Here is a 17,872-nt window from a genome sequence, read left to right on the forward strand (position 1 = left end):
GCAACTATGTGACTACAGTAAAACCCAGTGATTTGTGTACTTTCAGTGGGTCAGTTATGTGGTATATGAATGATAGCTCAATAAAGTTGTTAAAAATATGAACGGACAACCAAGAAGCATCTAAAATTCAAGAAAAGCTTGGAGCAAGAGAAAGCAGAATTAATAAGCAGGGGGAAAAATGAAGAACACTCAGTTCATTCAGAAAAAAAAAACAATTTTTTAAATGACCAATTATCCTTTGAGAGACTCAAGAAGATGCTGCATCCACAAAATAAGAATAGGGAGCCATGAAAAAGGAACTATCCAAAAACAAGAAAGAGTTCTTGTGAATTATTAAAACAATAAGTTTCCTAAGAGATAAAATTTTGATTAAATGTCTGCACAATGAAGTCAGGGATAATCCCTAGAGCATAAAGCAAAAGGCCCAGACACTAGAAAAAGAGAAGTTTAACATGTGATAACCAGCACTTTCAGAGTGAAAGAACAGAAAAACAGAGGAAATAAAATTAAAAAGGAAAAAATAGGGAAAACTTTTCCCAGAGCTAAAGGAAGACAAGAATGTTTAAAATAAAAGGGTCTTGTAGGAATGAAAAAGATACCCATGCCGAATACATCAGTGTGAACTTTCAGAACATCAAAGAGCAGAGCAGAGCCTAAAACCTTACAGAAAAGATAAAACGGGTGATTGACAAAGGATCCAGAAGCCAAGAAGCATCAGAAATAACAGATCTTACGAGACCGTGTAATAGGCTTTTGAAATTTTCATTGAAAATTATTTTGAATGGAGAATTTTATATTCTAATTCTCCACCAAGAACAAGAGTACTAAATCTCAATCTAATAGTGGGAAATCAAGAGATACTGCCTGAAGTTGATGGAACAAGAAATAGAAATTTCAATATAGTGTTTGAGGTGTCACAGGTTGCCAATAAAAGAATTAAAGTACTATTACCTTCATGGAAAAAGAGATGTAGAATAGAGAAAAGAACATAATAAAAGCTAGATCTTTATTTTTCATACCTAGGAATGGACCACTTCTTCAGTTGTAAGAAACTTAAATCTAAAAATACTACATAGAGGTAATAAATATAACTCTGAGAAGTATTGAAAACAGACATGGTTAAAAAAAAAAAACAAAGTTGCAGCTAAGGAGCAGGTCTGAAAGGAAAAGGGAGGGATCCCAGGGGGAGAAGAAACCCACTGCTTTTTATTTTAAAAATGAGATATAAGGCCAAACTTTTTTTTTCAACTAATTAACGGGACTTTTAAATACAGATCCTAGAAGCAGTGCAGAGAGCCAAGGCTTGGCATTTGGGTAGCTGCGCACTTCCAAACTATACTGCATGAAAGCATTTCACAGACCGTGAGTTGTCCAGTTACTTAACTTTGGGAGATACTGTCATTCTTGATGTCCCTTTTACAGATTCAAAACATACATTAAGTTATTAAAAGCTCTGAGAAGTTCTGTAGAATATAAACCATTTTGACTTCATTTAAATACAGGTCAATTTGCTGAAAGACCAATTTGATGAACTGTTAATTTGCCGATGTTACTAAATTTACCAACTTTTTTAAAATAAAGATTTAATACTCACAATGGGATTGTTTTCAAAGTTTTGATAGGAATGTGCAAGTTGCAAAAGAAAATTAAATAGCCAAAAAGTGAGTAGAGCACACATTAATATAAACAGAGAAGATTTTACAAATGAGATTTTTAGACTACTTCTGGTTTCTTTTGGACATTTCTGGATATCATTTTTAACTTTGCTTAAAATTTTAAGCATTCTAAGGTTTACTTTCCCTCATTTCCTCCATGACCTACTGGCCTTTATTGTGTATTTCTAACAATTAAACATTTAAGTTAAATGTAAATTCAAATGCATCTCAAGGACATCAGAATTTTAAATTAACTTAGATCTAATTCAAATTCTAAACGGACGGAAACACAAAATTAAGGTTAAACTATTTACAAATTGGTGAAAGAACATTAAAAATTCTTTACAAAATAAAATAACATTTTTAAAGCATATAAAAAAATAAAATGTAGTTGAAACAATCCTGTCACATATGAAATGCCAAAACTTCAGGTAGAAAAATTGTATTTCATATAGGAATTGTTCAAATGATGCCGAATTCTGTTGTCAGCCTTCCAGCATTTTAGAATTTTCTTTTCTACTGATACCTCAGACAGGAAACATCTTAATATTAGTTAATACAGTCATGTGCCACATAACATTTCAGTCAATGGACTGCATATGTGATAATAGTTGTTCCACAAGATTATACTGGAGCTGCCCTATGCACCTATATAATTTTAAATTTTATGACATATTTTTGCCCTATTTTTTCTATGTTTACATACACAAATACCTGCCACTGTGTTACAACTGGCTACAGCATTCAGTACAATAATGTCCTGTACAGGTTTGTAGCCAAGGAGCACCATATAGTCTAGTTGTGTAGTAGGATTTCACAATCTAGGTTTGTGTAAATACATTTCATGACGATTGCGTGACAACAAAATCATCTAATGACGCATTTCTCCGAACGTATCCCCATTATTAAACAATGCATGACTATATTCAGAAAAGCATCTTTCATTGTCAGCAAAACAGGATCAAACACTTAGTAGACAGGGCTACTAAATCGTCATGGGTAAATGTGCATATCTGAAAACTAGGCTCTTCGTGGACTTGGTGTACAGTGAACTGGCTTTTGATGAATTGGCTTTCCATAATTGATTTTCGGCCAACTGACCTGAAGCCATTTTACTTAACCTAGCTTTTCCCAAATTCATTTGACCAGGATTCTCTTTTCATTTCAAGTCAATGGAACAATTATCCTGACAGAACACACTCTGGAAACCACTACTCAACAGGAAGGAAGTCATATGCTTGTACTACAGGCCCTGGGGAACAGCAAGCCGACTTTGATAATAATAATTAGCAACTGCTAACAGGGGAATTAATGAGAAAAGAAACTTAACTTATATCCAGATGCCATACTTCTATAAATCGGCAGACTATATATTCTATTCACTCATCTCCACTGGTGAAAAGTTCCACGTTTTATATTAATTTTTATTTTACTTTTTTTTAGAGATGGGGTCTTGTTCTGTTGCCCAGGCTGGAGTGCAGTGGTACAATCAAAGCTAACTGTTACCTCGAACTCCTGGGGTCAAAAGTGATCATTCCACCTCAGCCTCCCGATGAGCTGGGACTAAAGGTGCACCCTACCATGCCCAGCTAATTTTCTAATTTTTTGTAAGACAAGGTCTTCCTATGTTACCCCAGGTTGATCTCAAACTTCTTGCCTCGAGGGATCCTCCCACTTTGGCCTCCCAAAGCACTGAGATTACAGGTGTGAGCCACCACACCCAGCTTATATGTATTTTTTTAAAATAAAAACATTTTAATAGAAAATTCATGGGTGGGAATGAAGTGTTTGTGTTTTTTCTCTCTCATGTTCTTTGGGTCTGAGAAAGCCTTACACAGCATGCTTCCATGTCTTAATACTCTCCCACTCATGATGGCTGCTGTGGGAACTGCCAGCAGTGAGGGCTGGTAGGGAAGAAAGCAACACAGGCCAGGGATCACACACTTACGAGCCCACTGGGGTAGACAGGATGTGGACGAGTAAAGCCAGCCTGGTGGGGAACTAGTGGAGACTTTGGCAAACTGACAGAGAATACGCCAGGTTTAAGAAGGCAGCTGCTACCCAGCATAGCTACAGCTGCTTTGGGGATGTGGATCCACTGTACCAGTCTTCTGATTCCCCAGGCAAAACTAGAAATCTAAGTTAAAAAAATAAAATAAAATCTCCTGCTTTTTAGAAGTTAGCAAATATTTCATTAAAATATCCACCATGTGGCTAATCAGAAATGTTTCATATACATGAATGTGTATATATATATGTGTGTGTGTGTGTGTGTGTGTGTGTGTGTGTGTGTGTATGTGCATATACATATATGTGAAACAAAGTAACATCAGTTGTATTACCTTAAACCACCAAGTTACACAAAAAATTATAAGCAACCAAAGCTATACTAACTCCTCAGGATGTTGTCTTGGAACCAGTCGGAGGAAGGAAAGGGTATGTGTGGTCCTAACCTTATGGACCACATGATAACTCATGACAAGAGAGGCAGTGAGAATTGGAGCTGAGTTAGTTTGTTTTGTACTTTATTTGTGGCTGAGACTAAAGAAGTTTTGGAGGATTTTGAAACTCAGAATCTGAAAGCTAGAAGGGACATTACAGTCATGTGGGCAACCTCCTATTCAATAAAGGAATTATTTGGGTACAATTCCAACAGGTTGTCAACTAGTTGTTATGTAAACACTTCCAACGATGGAGTGTTGGATGCTCCATTATTGGGTACCTGAGGTGTTACAAACTGTTCTTCCTAATTTGCTGGCATGAAATGTGTCTTTCCTCAATTCCAAGTAACAAGTCCTAGTTCCTCCTCCTCTGGCCAGGAGGAAAACTCTTCTTCCTTCCTACAAGACAGCCTTTTAAAATGTTTGGAAATTTACAGCAGGTATCCCTCTCCTTCACAGTCTTTTAACCTTGTGATGAAATACCTCCAGTTCTCATCAGCCATTTCTCATCATATGGCTACAGAATTCTTCTCATGATGGTCATCCTCAGCTAGAAACTGTCTAGACGGGGTGATGGATACATGTACCCCATCCTTTGATGTTGATACTATACTTAAAATAATGCAGCCTAAGGTTGGATTAGCTTTACTGCACTGCACTGTTCTCTCTGGACCCCCCAGATATATGTTATGATTTTTATGTTGTATGAACGAAGAAATCCAATTCAAATAGGCTGACGAAGTAAAAATAAAGTTTATCAGCCTAATTGCTTATGCAACTCAACAGTACAGGAGTAAATGCGGTCTGAGGCAGTGTTTAAACAATGTGATCAGGATCCGGTTTTCCTCTTTCCATTTCTCACCTCTACTTCCTTGGTTTCTTTTTTTTTTTCTTCTGATCTCTTTTAGTCCCAAGAACGCTAACGGCCTGCAGTCTTAGGGTTCTATGCTCCCTTAGTTATGAGCAGTAGTAAAGGAGAAGTCTTCTTTCTTAATAGTTCGAATGAAAGGCCAAGAACGGACGACCATCACGGCTCCAACATGAAGCCACCTGGCTAACATGGGTCACATGACCAGGGAAACATGACTTTTCTAGCTTTAGCCAATCACAGACAGACTGCCTCTGTGGTCAATCACATACACACGACATGGCTAGGACCCATTTGAAGTTATATTAAGAAAGAATGCAGAAATTAATGTTATTGGAAAAACCAAAAATAATCTACTAAACACTAGAAAAATTTCTCCAGCCTATTATTGAATTTTACTTCCAAATGAAGACTTTTCCGTGTACCCCTACTCACTTTGATGCCAAATGCTTCTGATTAAGGAATTAATTTGAACTTTGGTTCAGCTCTCCAAAAGATTCTTCTCTGCTTTGAATCCCTTCCATATTTGATATACATAACTTCTACGTATTCTTCTCATTAAGTCTTTGATTAATGAGAACCATTAAGACCAAAAAAACACTGAGCTTTGAGGCATATACCCCACTGCGTATTTCCCCAAAGGGGTCTATCAATCTGTGAAAGACTATGGTTCAGAAATAGCTATTTAAAAGGTATAAATTAACCTCACTAACTCCTATTTTTCCATCCATAGGAAATGTGCCAGGAGACACTATCAAATGCCTTGCTGATATCAAGGTGCACTGTTTCTGTAGCATTTCCAAAATAAATGCTACATTTTGTAGCATTCTGGCTATATTACTTAATGCCTGTAGCCAGAAGGAGATAGCACACAGGGGAACTGGAGAACCTCCATAGAGTATGTCACACACTGCCATCAGGTACATCAGGTCCTGACATAATTTCTTTGCTCCAGGTAGGACCTCAGCTGCTTTCTAGAGATCCATCTTTTCCTTTTCCAGCTCTCAGACTTCCTCCTAAATGGCTGGCTTGTGCTCTGGTCCAAGTGGGTCCTGCTGTTCCCTTGGAAATTCTAAGAACCTGCTCTTGCAAAGCTCAATCCCCAGTGCATAACATAATGGCGGAGAGCTGCTGCTTCCTTCTCTCTCATGTAATTGTCCTTTCATCAGTCTTTTTATTGGATTCTCTTTACCATCTTTGAGTCGTTTTCTATCTGAAATGTTTATTAGACTATTTCTGAGTGGAATAGTACAGTGGACATCTATTCTTCTGGTTTGTCCAGAGTTCACCCACCCTCCTAGGTTTTCAAGAATGTCTGTCCCATTTCAAACCTGCATTTTTGGCAGGGCTGCCAGCACCTCATCTCCCTCGGTCCAGGCAGGGTTGGGTGTGAGACCCACAAAGGCCAAAGCCATCCATCCCAAATACACAGTTTTTAAATCTGGAGCTGGAGGGAATAGAACTTTTTCTTTTGTTATACAGATAGCAGAACATGAATGGGGTGGGGGGGAAGAAGCTGCTGGAAGCCATCTGTCTCACCACGCTGTGGACAAGACTGTGAGGAAGAATGAGGACAGCATCCAGGAAGGGAAGGAAGGAGGGAGAGAAAAAGAACGCAAGAGCAAGAAAGCAAAGGAGCCAGACGTCAGTCCGACGGCCCAGACTGCATCCCTGAATTCCATCGCAGTAGATCTGTGGCTGGCTGTGCAGTGTGTAGGCAACAGATTCTACTCTGCGTGAAGGTGCTCAGGTGGATTTCTGTTACTTGTATTAAAATTAGCATCACAGAGTCATATGGTAGGAAAACAGAATGGTATAGTGGAAAGACCACTAGAGCCCTCTGTAGTGTAGTAATAGTTTATACTTTTCTAACAAAGCCAATCTGGGTTCAGGCTGACTCAAATGCTTTAAAAAATTATAGCCAAAATAAAATAAATGAATCCATGGCCTGAGTTTGAATCTTGGCTCCGTCATGGAGTGTGCAAGTTACTAAGTCTCAGCCTCAGCTTCTGCCACAGAGGACAAGAGAGGTTAACATCCTTCTCACTCTGGCTGTGAGGATTAGAAGGACAAGCAAGTTGCTTGGTCCACAGTAGCCTCTTAATAAATAACAGCAATTACTTTTCAGTTAAAGAAAGTTGAAAGGTAGAGTCCTTAAAGTCCTTTCACCTACTCCCCTAGAAAGATGATGCTAACCAATAGCTGGCAGATGCTTTTATGATTGTTGAATCCAGTTTATCTCACGTTGGGAGGACATTACGGTGCTATTTCCAATTACAGGTGAGAGCAGATTTGTTCCTCTTTCATACTGAAGGGCAGTGTTATTATGATTGGTGTCCTTTATGCAGGAAGAGCAATTTCCATCATCTGTTTCCCTCTTTGCAGAGCAGGGCACTGTCTCCACTCCTCTCACTACTCCCAAGCCCCTGCTCTCTCCCTGTTCAAAGGCTATGGCTGGCCACCCTTGCTACTTCAGTTCCCCAGAACCTGGCTGGGCCATTTCCCTTAACACATCTAACAATAAGAATAGTACACATTTTTCCATTCTATCTCACGAGCTCAAGAGCTTTATACTAACCAGCCCAGAAGATATTTTCCTTGCTCTAAATAACTGTAATTTTGGGGGTCATTTATACCCCACTTTTTATTTCTTTCAAGGACCTCTTACTGCTCATTATAAATGCCATTATCCTTCTCTACAAGCGATCAAATATTATAAGGTCTGACAAGTTAGTTTTATGTTTGCATTGTAACTGAAGTCCCATCCATCTATCCTTCGGGAGTTTCTGAAAACTCTATATGAACTTCACTCAAAATACACAAGTAGCATGTAAGCGTGCTGATCATATTTTCAAAATTATGAAGTGTGTCCTTTACATAAAATTAAAATGGGTTTTAATGTGTTTGAGTCATTCAAAGTTTTATCCTTCATTACCCATTTTTCAGGCCCACCTGATTTCTTTTGGCTCCCTACAGGGGAAATGGGATTTCTTTTTTTCCTACTTTCTCTTCCACGAGGTGAGAAAAAGAAAAGAGAGCAGCTTGGTAGCTGCACGGAAGCCAAACAAGAGACTGATTCAACAGGAGAAATTCAATGCATCCCAAAAGATTCCCTAGGAATTTGGTATCCTGCTGCTTAGAGTACAATTTGTTGTAATAAGAAACTGAAAATTTTTCTATCAGGAAAGTCAAAGTGCTCAGTGATGGCTTGTTCAAGTTAAAAAAAAATTGAACTACAATGGAAAATGTCTTATTCTGGAAATGCTTTCACAACATAGGAAGCCTAAACACAATTTCTCAAATCATATATATTGCTCATACACACTGGTCAACACAAACAAATGTTTTCCTGTTCAGGTGACCTAGCCCCATACATACTGGTGAACCACAAACAATTAAATGTTTTCCTGTTCAGGTGACCTAGTCCCAGGAGTGGAGTGTGGCTTCCATCTTATTCCACAAGGAAGTTGTTTATACTGAAAGTCAGGCAAATGCAACAGAGATAAAGTCTTTTTTTTTTTTTGGAGACAGGGTCTCATGCTGTTGCCCAAGCTGGAATACAGTGGTATGAACATGGTTCACTGTAGCCTCGACCTCCATGGGCTCAAGTGATCCTTCCTTCCACCTCAGCCTCTGAGTAGCTGGAACTATAGGCTTGAGCCACCATGCCGAGTTATTTTTTTCTGTGTGTGTGTGTGTGTATTTCTTGGTAGAGATAGGGTTTCATCATGTTGCCCAGGCTGGTCCCAATCCTGGGCTCAAGTGATCTGCCCACCTTGGCCTCCCAAAGTGCTAAGGCCTACAGGCATGAGCCACCTTGACTGGATTTTTTGTTGTTGTTAAGAGACAGAGACTGACTCTTAACCCAAGTTGGAGCATGTGGTGGTTCCCTGCAGCCTCGAACTCCTGGGCTCGAGGGATCCTCCTGCCTCAGCCTCTCAAATAGCTGGGACTACAGGCACCAACCACCACCACGCCCATCTACTTTTTTTATGTTTAGTAGAGATGAAGTCTTGCTGTGTCACCCAGGTCTGTCTTGAACTCCTGGGCTCAAGTTATCTTCCCACCTTAGCCTCCCAAAGTGCTGGGATTACAGGTGTGAGCCACTGTGCTAGGCCCACAAAAGGTATTTCTTATGTCCTGGCCTGGGTTGGTGGCTCAAGAGCCAAGCAAGGTAGACGGGGAATAAGTGGGGTTGGTCCACAGCTGTGGGATTTTGGAGTAAAGGGAAACAGGTATCCTTGCTGCAGGTAGGGAGGAGCAGCAGAGGAGAATGTAGAAGGTAGACAGTGAGCAGAGAGAAAGTATATGAGCCAGAATGAAATATCTCCAAGGAGGATAGGCCAGACAGAAAAACAAATGGATTCTGAAGACAGATCCTGGAATTAGTATCTAAAACATTAGAGTTCAGGAAGCCTTTTAGGACCACGAGCATCTATGGGCTGGGTGAAAGCTATAGCTGGGAACTTCTGTTTTCCTTGGATACTGCAACCAAGGAGGCACAGGACTGGGGTCCCTCCAGGTTGGACAAAAACTTTCACTAGGAAGTTATCCAAAGGTACAAAGTAGATTCTAGTGGCTCCCTCCTGGTCTGAACTTTTCCCAGTAGACTACTGCTACCTAGAATGACTCATGCTGTTACAGGAAATCCAGCAGCTCCCCTTAGCACATGGTTCTTGACTGGGAGCTTGAGTGTTAAAAGAGGGGATTGGATTATCAGAAAGAGCAGGATTTGGTGAAAGTCAAATGGAGGAATTTGGCATCGGGAGGATATTTTACACCGTGCTTTAAGATAAAGGTTTGAAGACCTCCAGTTACCTTGAGGGGGTTTGGGGGGCAGATCTTCCAACTTCCAGCAGAGATGAGTTATGTGTATGGACCAAAAGGGGAGTCAGGTGGCACTGCCACTTAGGAGAGTTCTCTAGAACCCAGTGTTGATCAGTGTACTTCTTACCAGAACTTGGGCCTCTCTAAGGTGGTAATAGTGCAGGATTATCACTTCTGATTTGAAATTAGGAGCTCTGCTATTTACCATCTTTATTTTATTTATTTTATTTTATATTATTTATTTTATTTTGAGACAGGGTCTCGCTCAGTCACCCAGGTTAGAGTGCAACGACGTGATCACAGCTCACTGCAGCCTTGACCTCCCAGACTCAAGCGATCCTCTCACCTCATCCTCCCTGGTGGCTGGGACTACAGGCACATGCCACCTCTCCCAGCTAATCTTCACATTTTTAGTAGAGATGGGGTTTCACCATGTTGCCCAGGCTGGTCTTGAACTCCAGGACTCAAGCAATATGCCTGCCTTGGCCTCCCAAAGTGCTGGGATTGCAAGCGTGAGCCACTGTGTCCGGCCTATTCACTGTCTTGATGACAGAGAGAAAAGGTATGGGTTTCCAGGGTCCTGGCATAGCCAGGGAAGAGTATAAAAATGGGTAGGAATTATGTATAACTTGGGGTTTGGGGGGAAAAAGGAATTGATATCCTTGTCCCAGGTAAGGATGGGAGGCAAAGGAGGGGCAGAAATGAGAAATGCAAGTGGAATCATGCTGTCACAGGTCGCCCTGGCCAGATGTAAAGCCACTAACTTCATATTACAGGCTTTCTTGGCTCCACCCCACACGGTCCTGGGGCTCTCAGAAATGCCACTGCACAATTTTTGTTGATACTTAATCACTTGGTCAGCTGTAACTGTGTATAAAGAACCCGAAAGTGTTTTAGGCAGATTATTTCTCAGGGCAGAACCTCTATTTTACACATTATTTTATAGTAAAGGTAGGTGAGAGTTTAAGTTTGATTCTAAAGCTATCCCAGGCTGGGTTCAGTGGCTCACACCTGTAATCCCAGAACTTTGGGAGGCCAAGGTGCGAGGATCACTTGGGCCCAGGAGTTCAAGACTAGCCTGGGCAACATTACAAGACCCTGCCTCTACAAAAAAAAATTTCTTTAATTAGCTTGGTGTCAGGGTGTGTGCCTGTGGTCCCCCCTCATCTACTCGAGAGGCTGAGGTGGGAGGAACACTTGAGCCCAGGAAGTAAACACTGCAGTGAGAAGTGTTTGCACCACTACACTCCAGCCTGGACAACAGAGCAAGACCCTGTGTCTCAAAAAACAAAATAAAAACAAAATGAGGCTACCCTAAAATAGCTGCATAAACAAAGCCATGTCAAATGATGATATTCCCCCATCAGTGTCCCCTGGACTGCTGGCTTCTGGGAGAAGGCATCCTCTGGTGGCCAACTAGCACCCATCAAGCTGGTCATGAGCACAGCCTCCAGCTTTACGCCAGTCACTCCAAGGCCTGAGCATGCTGGCCCTGGCTTCTGGGTACCCTTCCAGCTCAGAGGATGACAGTGTGGAGCTAAACAGGGGTTTAGCCATAGGGAGGGCTTTGGGAAATCAGAGGCACTAGATTCTCTATATGAGGCTTTAAAATAGTAGAATGATGAATGAAATCCTGAAAATCAATCGGGGACCTCCAAGAGAGATAAGTACTTGATCCACTGCAGGGCCTCCTACTCTAGCACTCTAAAAACCTTGTCCATCACTGGCCAGGCCGGATTTGGTCCAGCAATTCCTCCTCAGGTTGTCAAAGGCCTGGTTTTCTGGAGATGCTCACAGGTGCCCCTCAGCTGGCTGTTGAAGGCTATCTGTAAGCTCCACCAGAATGAGGACTTTGTATTGCCTGTTTCGTTTACCACAGTGCATTTAAGTAGGTAGGTCTCCATAAATATTTTTGTTGAAAAGGATGAGTAAAAGTGCCTGACCCAGGAATGTGAGATGTACCCATTCAAATCAACTATGATCTATACATCCAGGAGGCCATGCAGTAAGCTGAGAATCAGGTAGAGAAGATGGGCAGGCTTCTTTAGTCCAAATGATATCTCTTGCTCTGTCTCCTACCGGCCAAGGCATATCTAAAGGCCATATTCGACTTCTTGCATACAAATAAGATGGAGGTTCCTACAGAGATCTGATTTCCTAAAGCCCCATGCCTGCTAGCATTGATGTGGAAAGACACACACAGACTTGGGGCAGGACGACAGCTGCACAGTGGAGCTCATAACGGGGACAGGGGAGGAACAAGCAGCTTCTCAATTCTCTTGTCTGAAAGTGGCTGTGGACTATATCTAGCACTCTTGCTACAGGGAGAGTTACCAGAATAAAGTTCAGCAGCAGGTTCTGGCAATGCTGTCCAGAGTGAAACAGAAGATGGGGTCCTCTGAAAGATGGTTGAGTAGTGGCCTCTACTAGCCAGGAGTGAAACACTATAGAGATGTATGGCCAGGAGGTGACGGAAAGCACAGGCTTTATGCATGTTCTGCCATGTGCAGCAGCATGTTGGAAGCAATGAATGGGTCACCTCCCCTTCCCAGTAGGGGCTACACATACATCAGCAGCACCCAATCATTTTGTTTCATCCTTAAGACAGATGGGAAATAGGCAAGCTGGATGAAGGCATGGTATGTGAAGCTGCCAGATCACCTAAGCCTGTCTGCTGTCATCCAAAGCTCTGTCAGAATGTGCAACACTTGTTCAAATGCCTGAGGTGACAGCAATGGTCAGAAGAGCTGCTACATTCAGGAGAAGGAGTAGGCCCAAGGCACCCTGCCTCCTCTTTTTCAGAGGTGTTGAAGGGCCAGAGCTTATGCCAGTTCCATGCACAGAGTGTCCTAGATTTTTCTTCCAGAAGTAAGACTACAAGGCTGGGTCATTCTCACACCAACCAGTAGGTTCAGTGCTGGAACCACTCCACAAAGCTGGGCAATGAAGGTCTTTACCCAAACGTACAGGTGGCATCTCAAGCAAGGTGATTAGGGCTAAAGGAAGTCAAGGTACTTTAGAGGAGTAGATGGCTGAAGCAGAGATGTTCTCATTTCTCTTGTTCCAAGAAAAGAAGAGCCAGAGAAATCGGTCATAATGTTCTCCATTACCTCCTACCTAAACCCTCATATTAGCCTTGGATTATCCATAAAAGTAAAACATAAGTAATGAGGCCTAAGCGCAAGTCAGTGGTGTAATAAATATCTACTAGTCATTGTCATATCTTCTTTCCTTCTTCTTCATCTTCCCTCTTTCTCTATTTTCCCCTCTTTCACCTCCTTTTTCATTGGATTTTATGTCTAGATTCTGCATTAAGAAAGTCTTTCAGAATTAAATTAAAAGGCTTATATTTAAAAGTTTTTAAAAATGCTTGGGTCTTGACGGACCCTTCGCCCATCACTGTGCAGGTGATCACGGCCCCAGTGTCCCAGTAAGAAATAAACCTTACAAAATGGACAGCAAACAGAAAGAGGCCCTGATTAGGCATGCCAGATAATTCAGTATTTCACACATACGAACACACGCACATACAGAGCTCAGAGTCTTGTATCGAGGGTCTTCCACTAAAGATACTTTAATTGAAAACTACAGCATGGAAAACATGATTAAGTGGCTACAAGATTACTGTTCACTTTAATAAGCAGAGAAGAAAACATTTATTCATTTATCAGGTGAAATAATTCTCTAAATCTCATCAGAGACAATAAATGGCAAACAACATACGTGGAAAGAATGTTGGATGAAGTTCAGATAGTTATTTCTTCTTCTGGGGTGAGAACTGGCTCTGAGTTGTTCTCTAGGTCCTACTCCATGAGCATGGATTAGGAAAAGTTCTAAACTAGATACAACAGCCAAGGACCCAGCCTGCCCTCTAGGAATGAGCTTCGTTGTCAGAGACAATGACACAAGCGTCCTCAGAGAGCAAGCTAACAACATCTGAGCAACAAGGAGAGATGCGGGATTGGGAGAGGCAGACCCAAAGCAAGCGCTGGGTATGTGACGGCATCGAACGCGCGCTCAGGTCCTCCCACTGTAATACGCACCTGGGATGCGGGGTCAGGAAGGCAGGCCCAAAGCAAGCGCTGGGCGCGTGGCTGCACCAAACGTGCGCTCAGGTCTTCCCACTATAACATGTACCCGGCAAGCTCTGCAGACTCCTGTACCAGAATGTCACACTGACAAAAACCCATGAAAGAACAACTGGAGTTCTTCAGAAAAGCCTGCTTGAAAACAGTAGAAGGTACTGTTATGAGGAAATCTCATAGTTTATCAACCTATCTTCCAAACCTTCTCAAAAAAAGGAGAAAAAAAAAATCCCCCGCAAAATTAAAAACGAATGGGGCTGCTATGTAATTAACTGACAATCTCTCAGTTACAAACCCCTGATTTGTAACCATGGCAGGTACACAAACTACCAGCTGCATTATACTTCCACTCTCTCCACCTGCCCCCATTTTTTCTGACAACAAAGCACAGAAAACTATCTGAGCTGAAATCTCACTCTTATCAGCTTTCTTCTCCTTGATGGAGATTTCATAGCCCACCTCCCTTGCCTCTTTCTCTGATCACAACTTAAGTCTCTTCATCATTCTTGTTCTTCTGCCTTTTTCCCAGGTACGTCACAAAAGTGTCATTCCCACCAGCACAAAAATACTATTTATGGACAACAAAATTAATATCAACAAATCTTACCCTATAATGTGGGCTTTGATGAAAGAAGAGATGAAGGCCCTAATACGTTTTGAAATGGCTTTAGATCAGAAACAACGGAAGTCAACGTCATCTCTTCTCATATTTTCTTGAGGAAAGAGTGACATTTTAGTGTGTGTGGTGGGGGAGGTACAATTTGGAAATGGTTATCCAAATTTAAAATAAATATAACTTTCACTTTAAGAGCAGGGGGACCTAACTTTTGATGTACCAAGTTACCACTTAGGAATTTCTCATGTGGATTTACCCTATGGATTCAATTAATCATGGCACTGTTTGACACAGTACACATAAATGGAAACGACAGAGATTGATCTAAAAATTATGGCATATCCATGAGATGAAATACTATGTATCTGTTAAAAAGAATAAGGTAGCTAATCTGGAGCTAATCTAGACAGATGTCTACACTCTCTTGTAAAGTGAAAAAAGTTACAGAACATGGGCTAGGGAGTTATCCTTTTCTCTCTCTCTCTCTCTTTTTCCCGCACACTAAGGAGGACCTTTGGCTTGGCTTCCCTTCCTTTTCTCTAATCCCCACTCCTCCATACACCACCTCAGCAGGCATATTTAAAAGACCTATTGGAAATGAGTCTTTCCCCCAGCAAGACAAGCAGGAAAAACGCAGAAGTGCAGGAGAAAGTGGAAGAGCCCACGTGAACAGTTCTGAAGGGAAGAGAGTTGAGAGTAACTGGGAAAGCAGAATAAAAGGAATGGGGGAAGCAGGGCTTTAAAAAAACATTCTGTGTATTATGATGGAACCATTGTTCATGTTTTCTGGCGAAGGTTAGGATTACTGTTTACTTTCAATCCTCTGACACCATGCTAAGACGGAGGTCTATCTGGCTCTGGAATATATTCAGACCGGCCACTCTCACACGGAACATTTCCAGAAGGAAACTTTTAGCCATGTTTATCTTTAAGGAGTGGGACAACAGTTTGAAGATGAGGCTGATTTTTACCTTTCTGTCCTCTTAAATTGTCCTTCCCTACAAGCATATGTTAATCTCGCAACAGAAATGAACAGAACGGGCGAATGTCCTGAAAGTCCTCTTCAAAGCCGGAAACACCCTCTATATCTCCTTATCACTCTCTAGTTCCGAAAGAAAAGTCAAATTTAATTAATATTCGACGCACAAAAATTTTAAAACAATGTGCTCAATTTTGTATTTTTCTCTCCGTTTTTAGGGGCTGGGGGGGGAATTTATAGCCCATACAGTGGTGCTATCAAAGGCTGAGTAGACTTTCATGGGTTAGTCTGGAGACATCACCATAATCTGTAACCATCTTTAATAGGAAAATGCATCCCAAGTTCTGAACTACTAATTGGCGAATTAACATTAGACTAAGTTAAACTTTTAAATAAAATTTATGAAGTATTTTAAAATTATCTTCATTCTACTTCCTGTTTACAATGCTAAGGGACAGATGAGTTTCCATATTAGTCACATATATATGCCGATACTATCAGAAGACATACTATGGGCTAATACTAAACATTATACATTTTGTTGTATGTGATTTCTAACTTGTTTTATGAAACATGAAGGATGTAATGTTGAGTTGCGTCATAAAAACTGAGTAAAATCTATTGAGTAAAAATAAATGAGAGTAGCAAGAAGGGAGCTGAAGGCCATAATTTGGATTAAAATGGAATAGCAGCACTTTCTCCTCTAAGGTCAGCAATTAAAATTTAGCCAAGGTCAGGAGTGACAAAATCATCAAGAAAGACTTGACCTCCATCTAGTTGTTGCAAACAATATATTAACATTGTAAAACTGTTACAGCAGATGGCAATGCAATCATCCCTTGGTAACTCATGCCTAGCTAACTGTCTGTGTCCTTGGCTAAAGGTGAGCAAAAGGCCCACCTCCTGCGTCTGCAGGGAGCCGATGCGGGGGGCTGAGAGCACTCAGTGTGAATTCCCTCATGCACATGTGAGAGGTGAAAACCACTGCCAACTTCTCCATTCCTGCCTTTGTTCCAAAATTGCTAACAGGGTTGCAGGGTACCTGACCTATTTGCATACATTCCTTATTTTTACCTCTGCCTGAGCTAAAGGGGAAAAAGGCAAAGTATGACAACATCTAACCTGCCCATTTCTCTCAACTTTGTTGGTTCTGGTTTATTTATAGCCTTTTCCTCAACTACAGCTTTAAAAGCAAATGATTCGTACCTCACTCATGTGAAGTGGATCAATGCAGATTGGATTTCTTGAAATACCACCAAAAAGCAACTCAACACACGCCAGGGAAGAGAAACCAAGGGAGGCTTGGAAATTTGTCACCCAGCATAAGAACACAGCACACACTTAAAGAGATTGTGACCTGCCAAACACCATGTAAATATAACCAAACGTTTCCCAAACATAATGGACTGTATTCTGGTGGAGGACTTGGCCTCACTTACAAGAAAGGCCTCTTTGTTTAAAGTCAGTCAAACTGCCAGCTACTTAAGGTGTAAGTTAGTGCCTCAAAGAGGCCCTGGTAGATGTGGGGAAGAGAAGGTTGCAAAATACGTGCAGAACAGACACCCGTGTAGGTGTGTGGTCTTCTTTATGGATGTGGTGGACCCATGTAAAGTTTCTGTGCTTAAGAGTGGCCCGAGCAGGGCAGCCTGAGTGTCGAAAGGGAGGATGAGGCAGAAGAATCAGTGCAGCGCTAGCCAAGAGTGAGGAACCAGCAGCTGCTGTTGGGGGCCTGGAGAAAGAAGGGTATTTTTCAGTCTGCATCTTTTGGATGGAGTTTATCCACTCACCCAGAGGCTGTTTGGCTTCCTCAGAGCAAGCCCTGGAGTTCAGAGAGGTAACGCCAACCATCTGACCTGCCTCTTTTTGCAACACTAAGGCTCAGAGAGGAAGCCTTATCTCTTTGAATGCGATTCGTATTTTCCGAGAACCCACAAGATCGATCACTCTGAGCAGGCATTTCACTGCTCATGGGAAAGTCTACAGTCTCAGCCCTCAAGCCAATCCCTCATACATTTGATTAAAGCTGACTCACAGTCTGGATTCCAAAGCTGTTCACCCACAGGCAGTGGAGGAAACCATCTACAGAAGTCCCGAAAACATGCTCAGGGTCAGGCTGGTGGCACTGGCTGGCCAGGGACCTCTGCCATCCGCCTGGCTGGTGGAGCCTCTGCCGTCTTCGGGGTCCTTGTGGACTGCACCAAGCTCCTGGCTCACGCCTGGCTTCCTGACCAAACACCTCATTTCTGGTTTACTACCTTTGTCCAAACAAATATCCTAGACCCTGGACTCACTTCTGTTCTTATGTTGACCCTGGGAAATTCCTCTCCCTCTAGCGGGAACAGGAAGTACCCTGGACTCTCACGTTTCCACCTGCTCCTCTTCGCTTACAGCCATTCCCTGC

General features: G+C 41.8%; 1 protein-coding gene across 19 annotated transcripts in view, besides 2 other annotated features; it reads right to left on the reverse strand.

The window, feature by feature from the left end:
• Positions 1–17,872, reverse strand: part of SMYD3 (SET and MYND domain containing 3) — a 757,933-nt gene that overhangs the window by 90,283 nt on the left and 649,778 nt on the right. The gene's annotated exons all lie outside the window — the stretch shown is intronic.
• Positions 13,359–13,859: an enhancer, noted in NCBI's record as "H3K4me1 hESC enhancer chr1:246016290-246016790 (GRCh37/hg19 assembly coordinates)". NCBI's record gives its function as "activates a minimal SCP1, AML or CMV promoter by ChIP-STARR-seq in primed H9 embryonic stem cells {active_cell/tissue: H9 hESC(primed)}" and the evidence as "EXISTENCE:reporter gene assay evidence [ECO:0000049][PMID:30033119]".
• Positions 13,860–14,360: an enhancer, noted in NCBI's record as "H3K4me1 hESC enhancer chr1:246016791-246017291 (GRCh37/hg19 assembly coordinates)". NCBI's record gives its function as "activates a minimal SCP1, AML or CMV promoter by ChIP-STARR-seq in primed H9 embryonic stem cells {active_cell/tissue: H9 hESC(primed)}" and the evidence as "EXISTENCE:reporter gene assay evidence [ECO:0000049][PMID:30033119]".

The sequence above is a fragment of the Homo sapiens genome, chromosome 1 (genome assembly GCF_000001405.40).
Source record: "Homo sapiens chromosome 1, GRCh38.p14 Primary Assembly".
Lineage (NCBI taxonomy): Eukaryota > Metazoa > Chordata > Mammalia > Primates > Hominidae > Homo > Homo sapiens.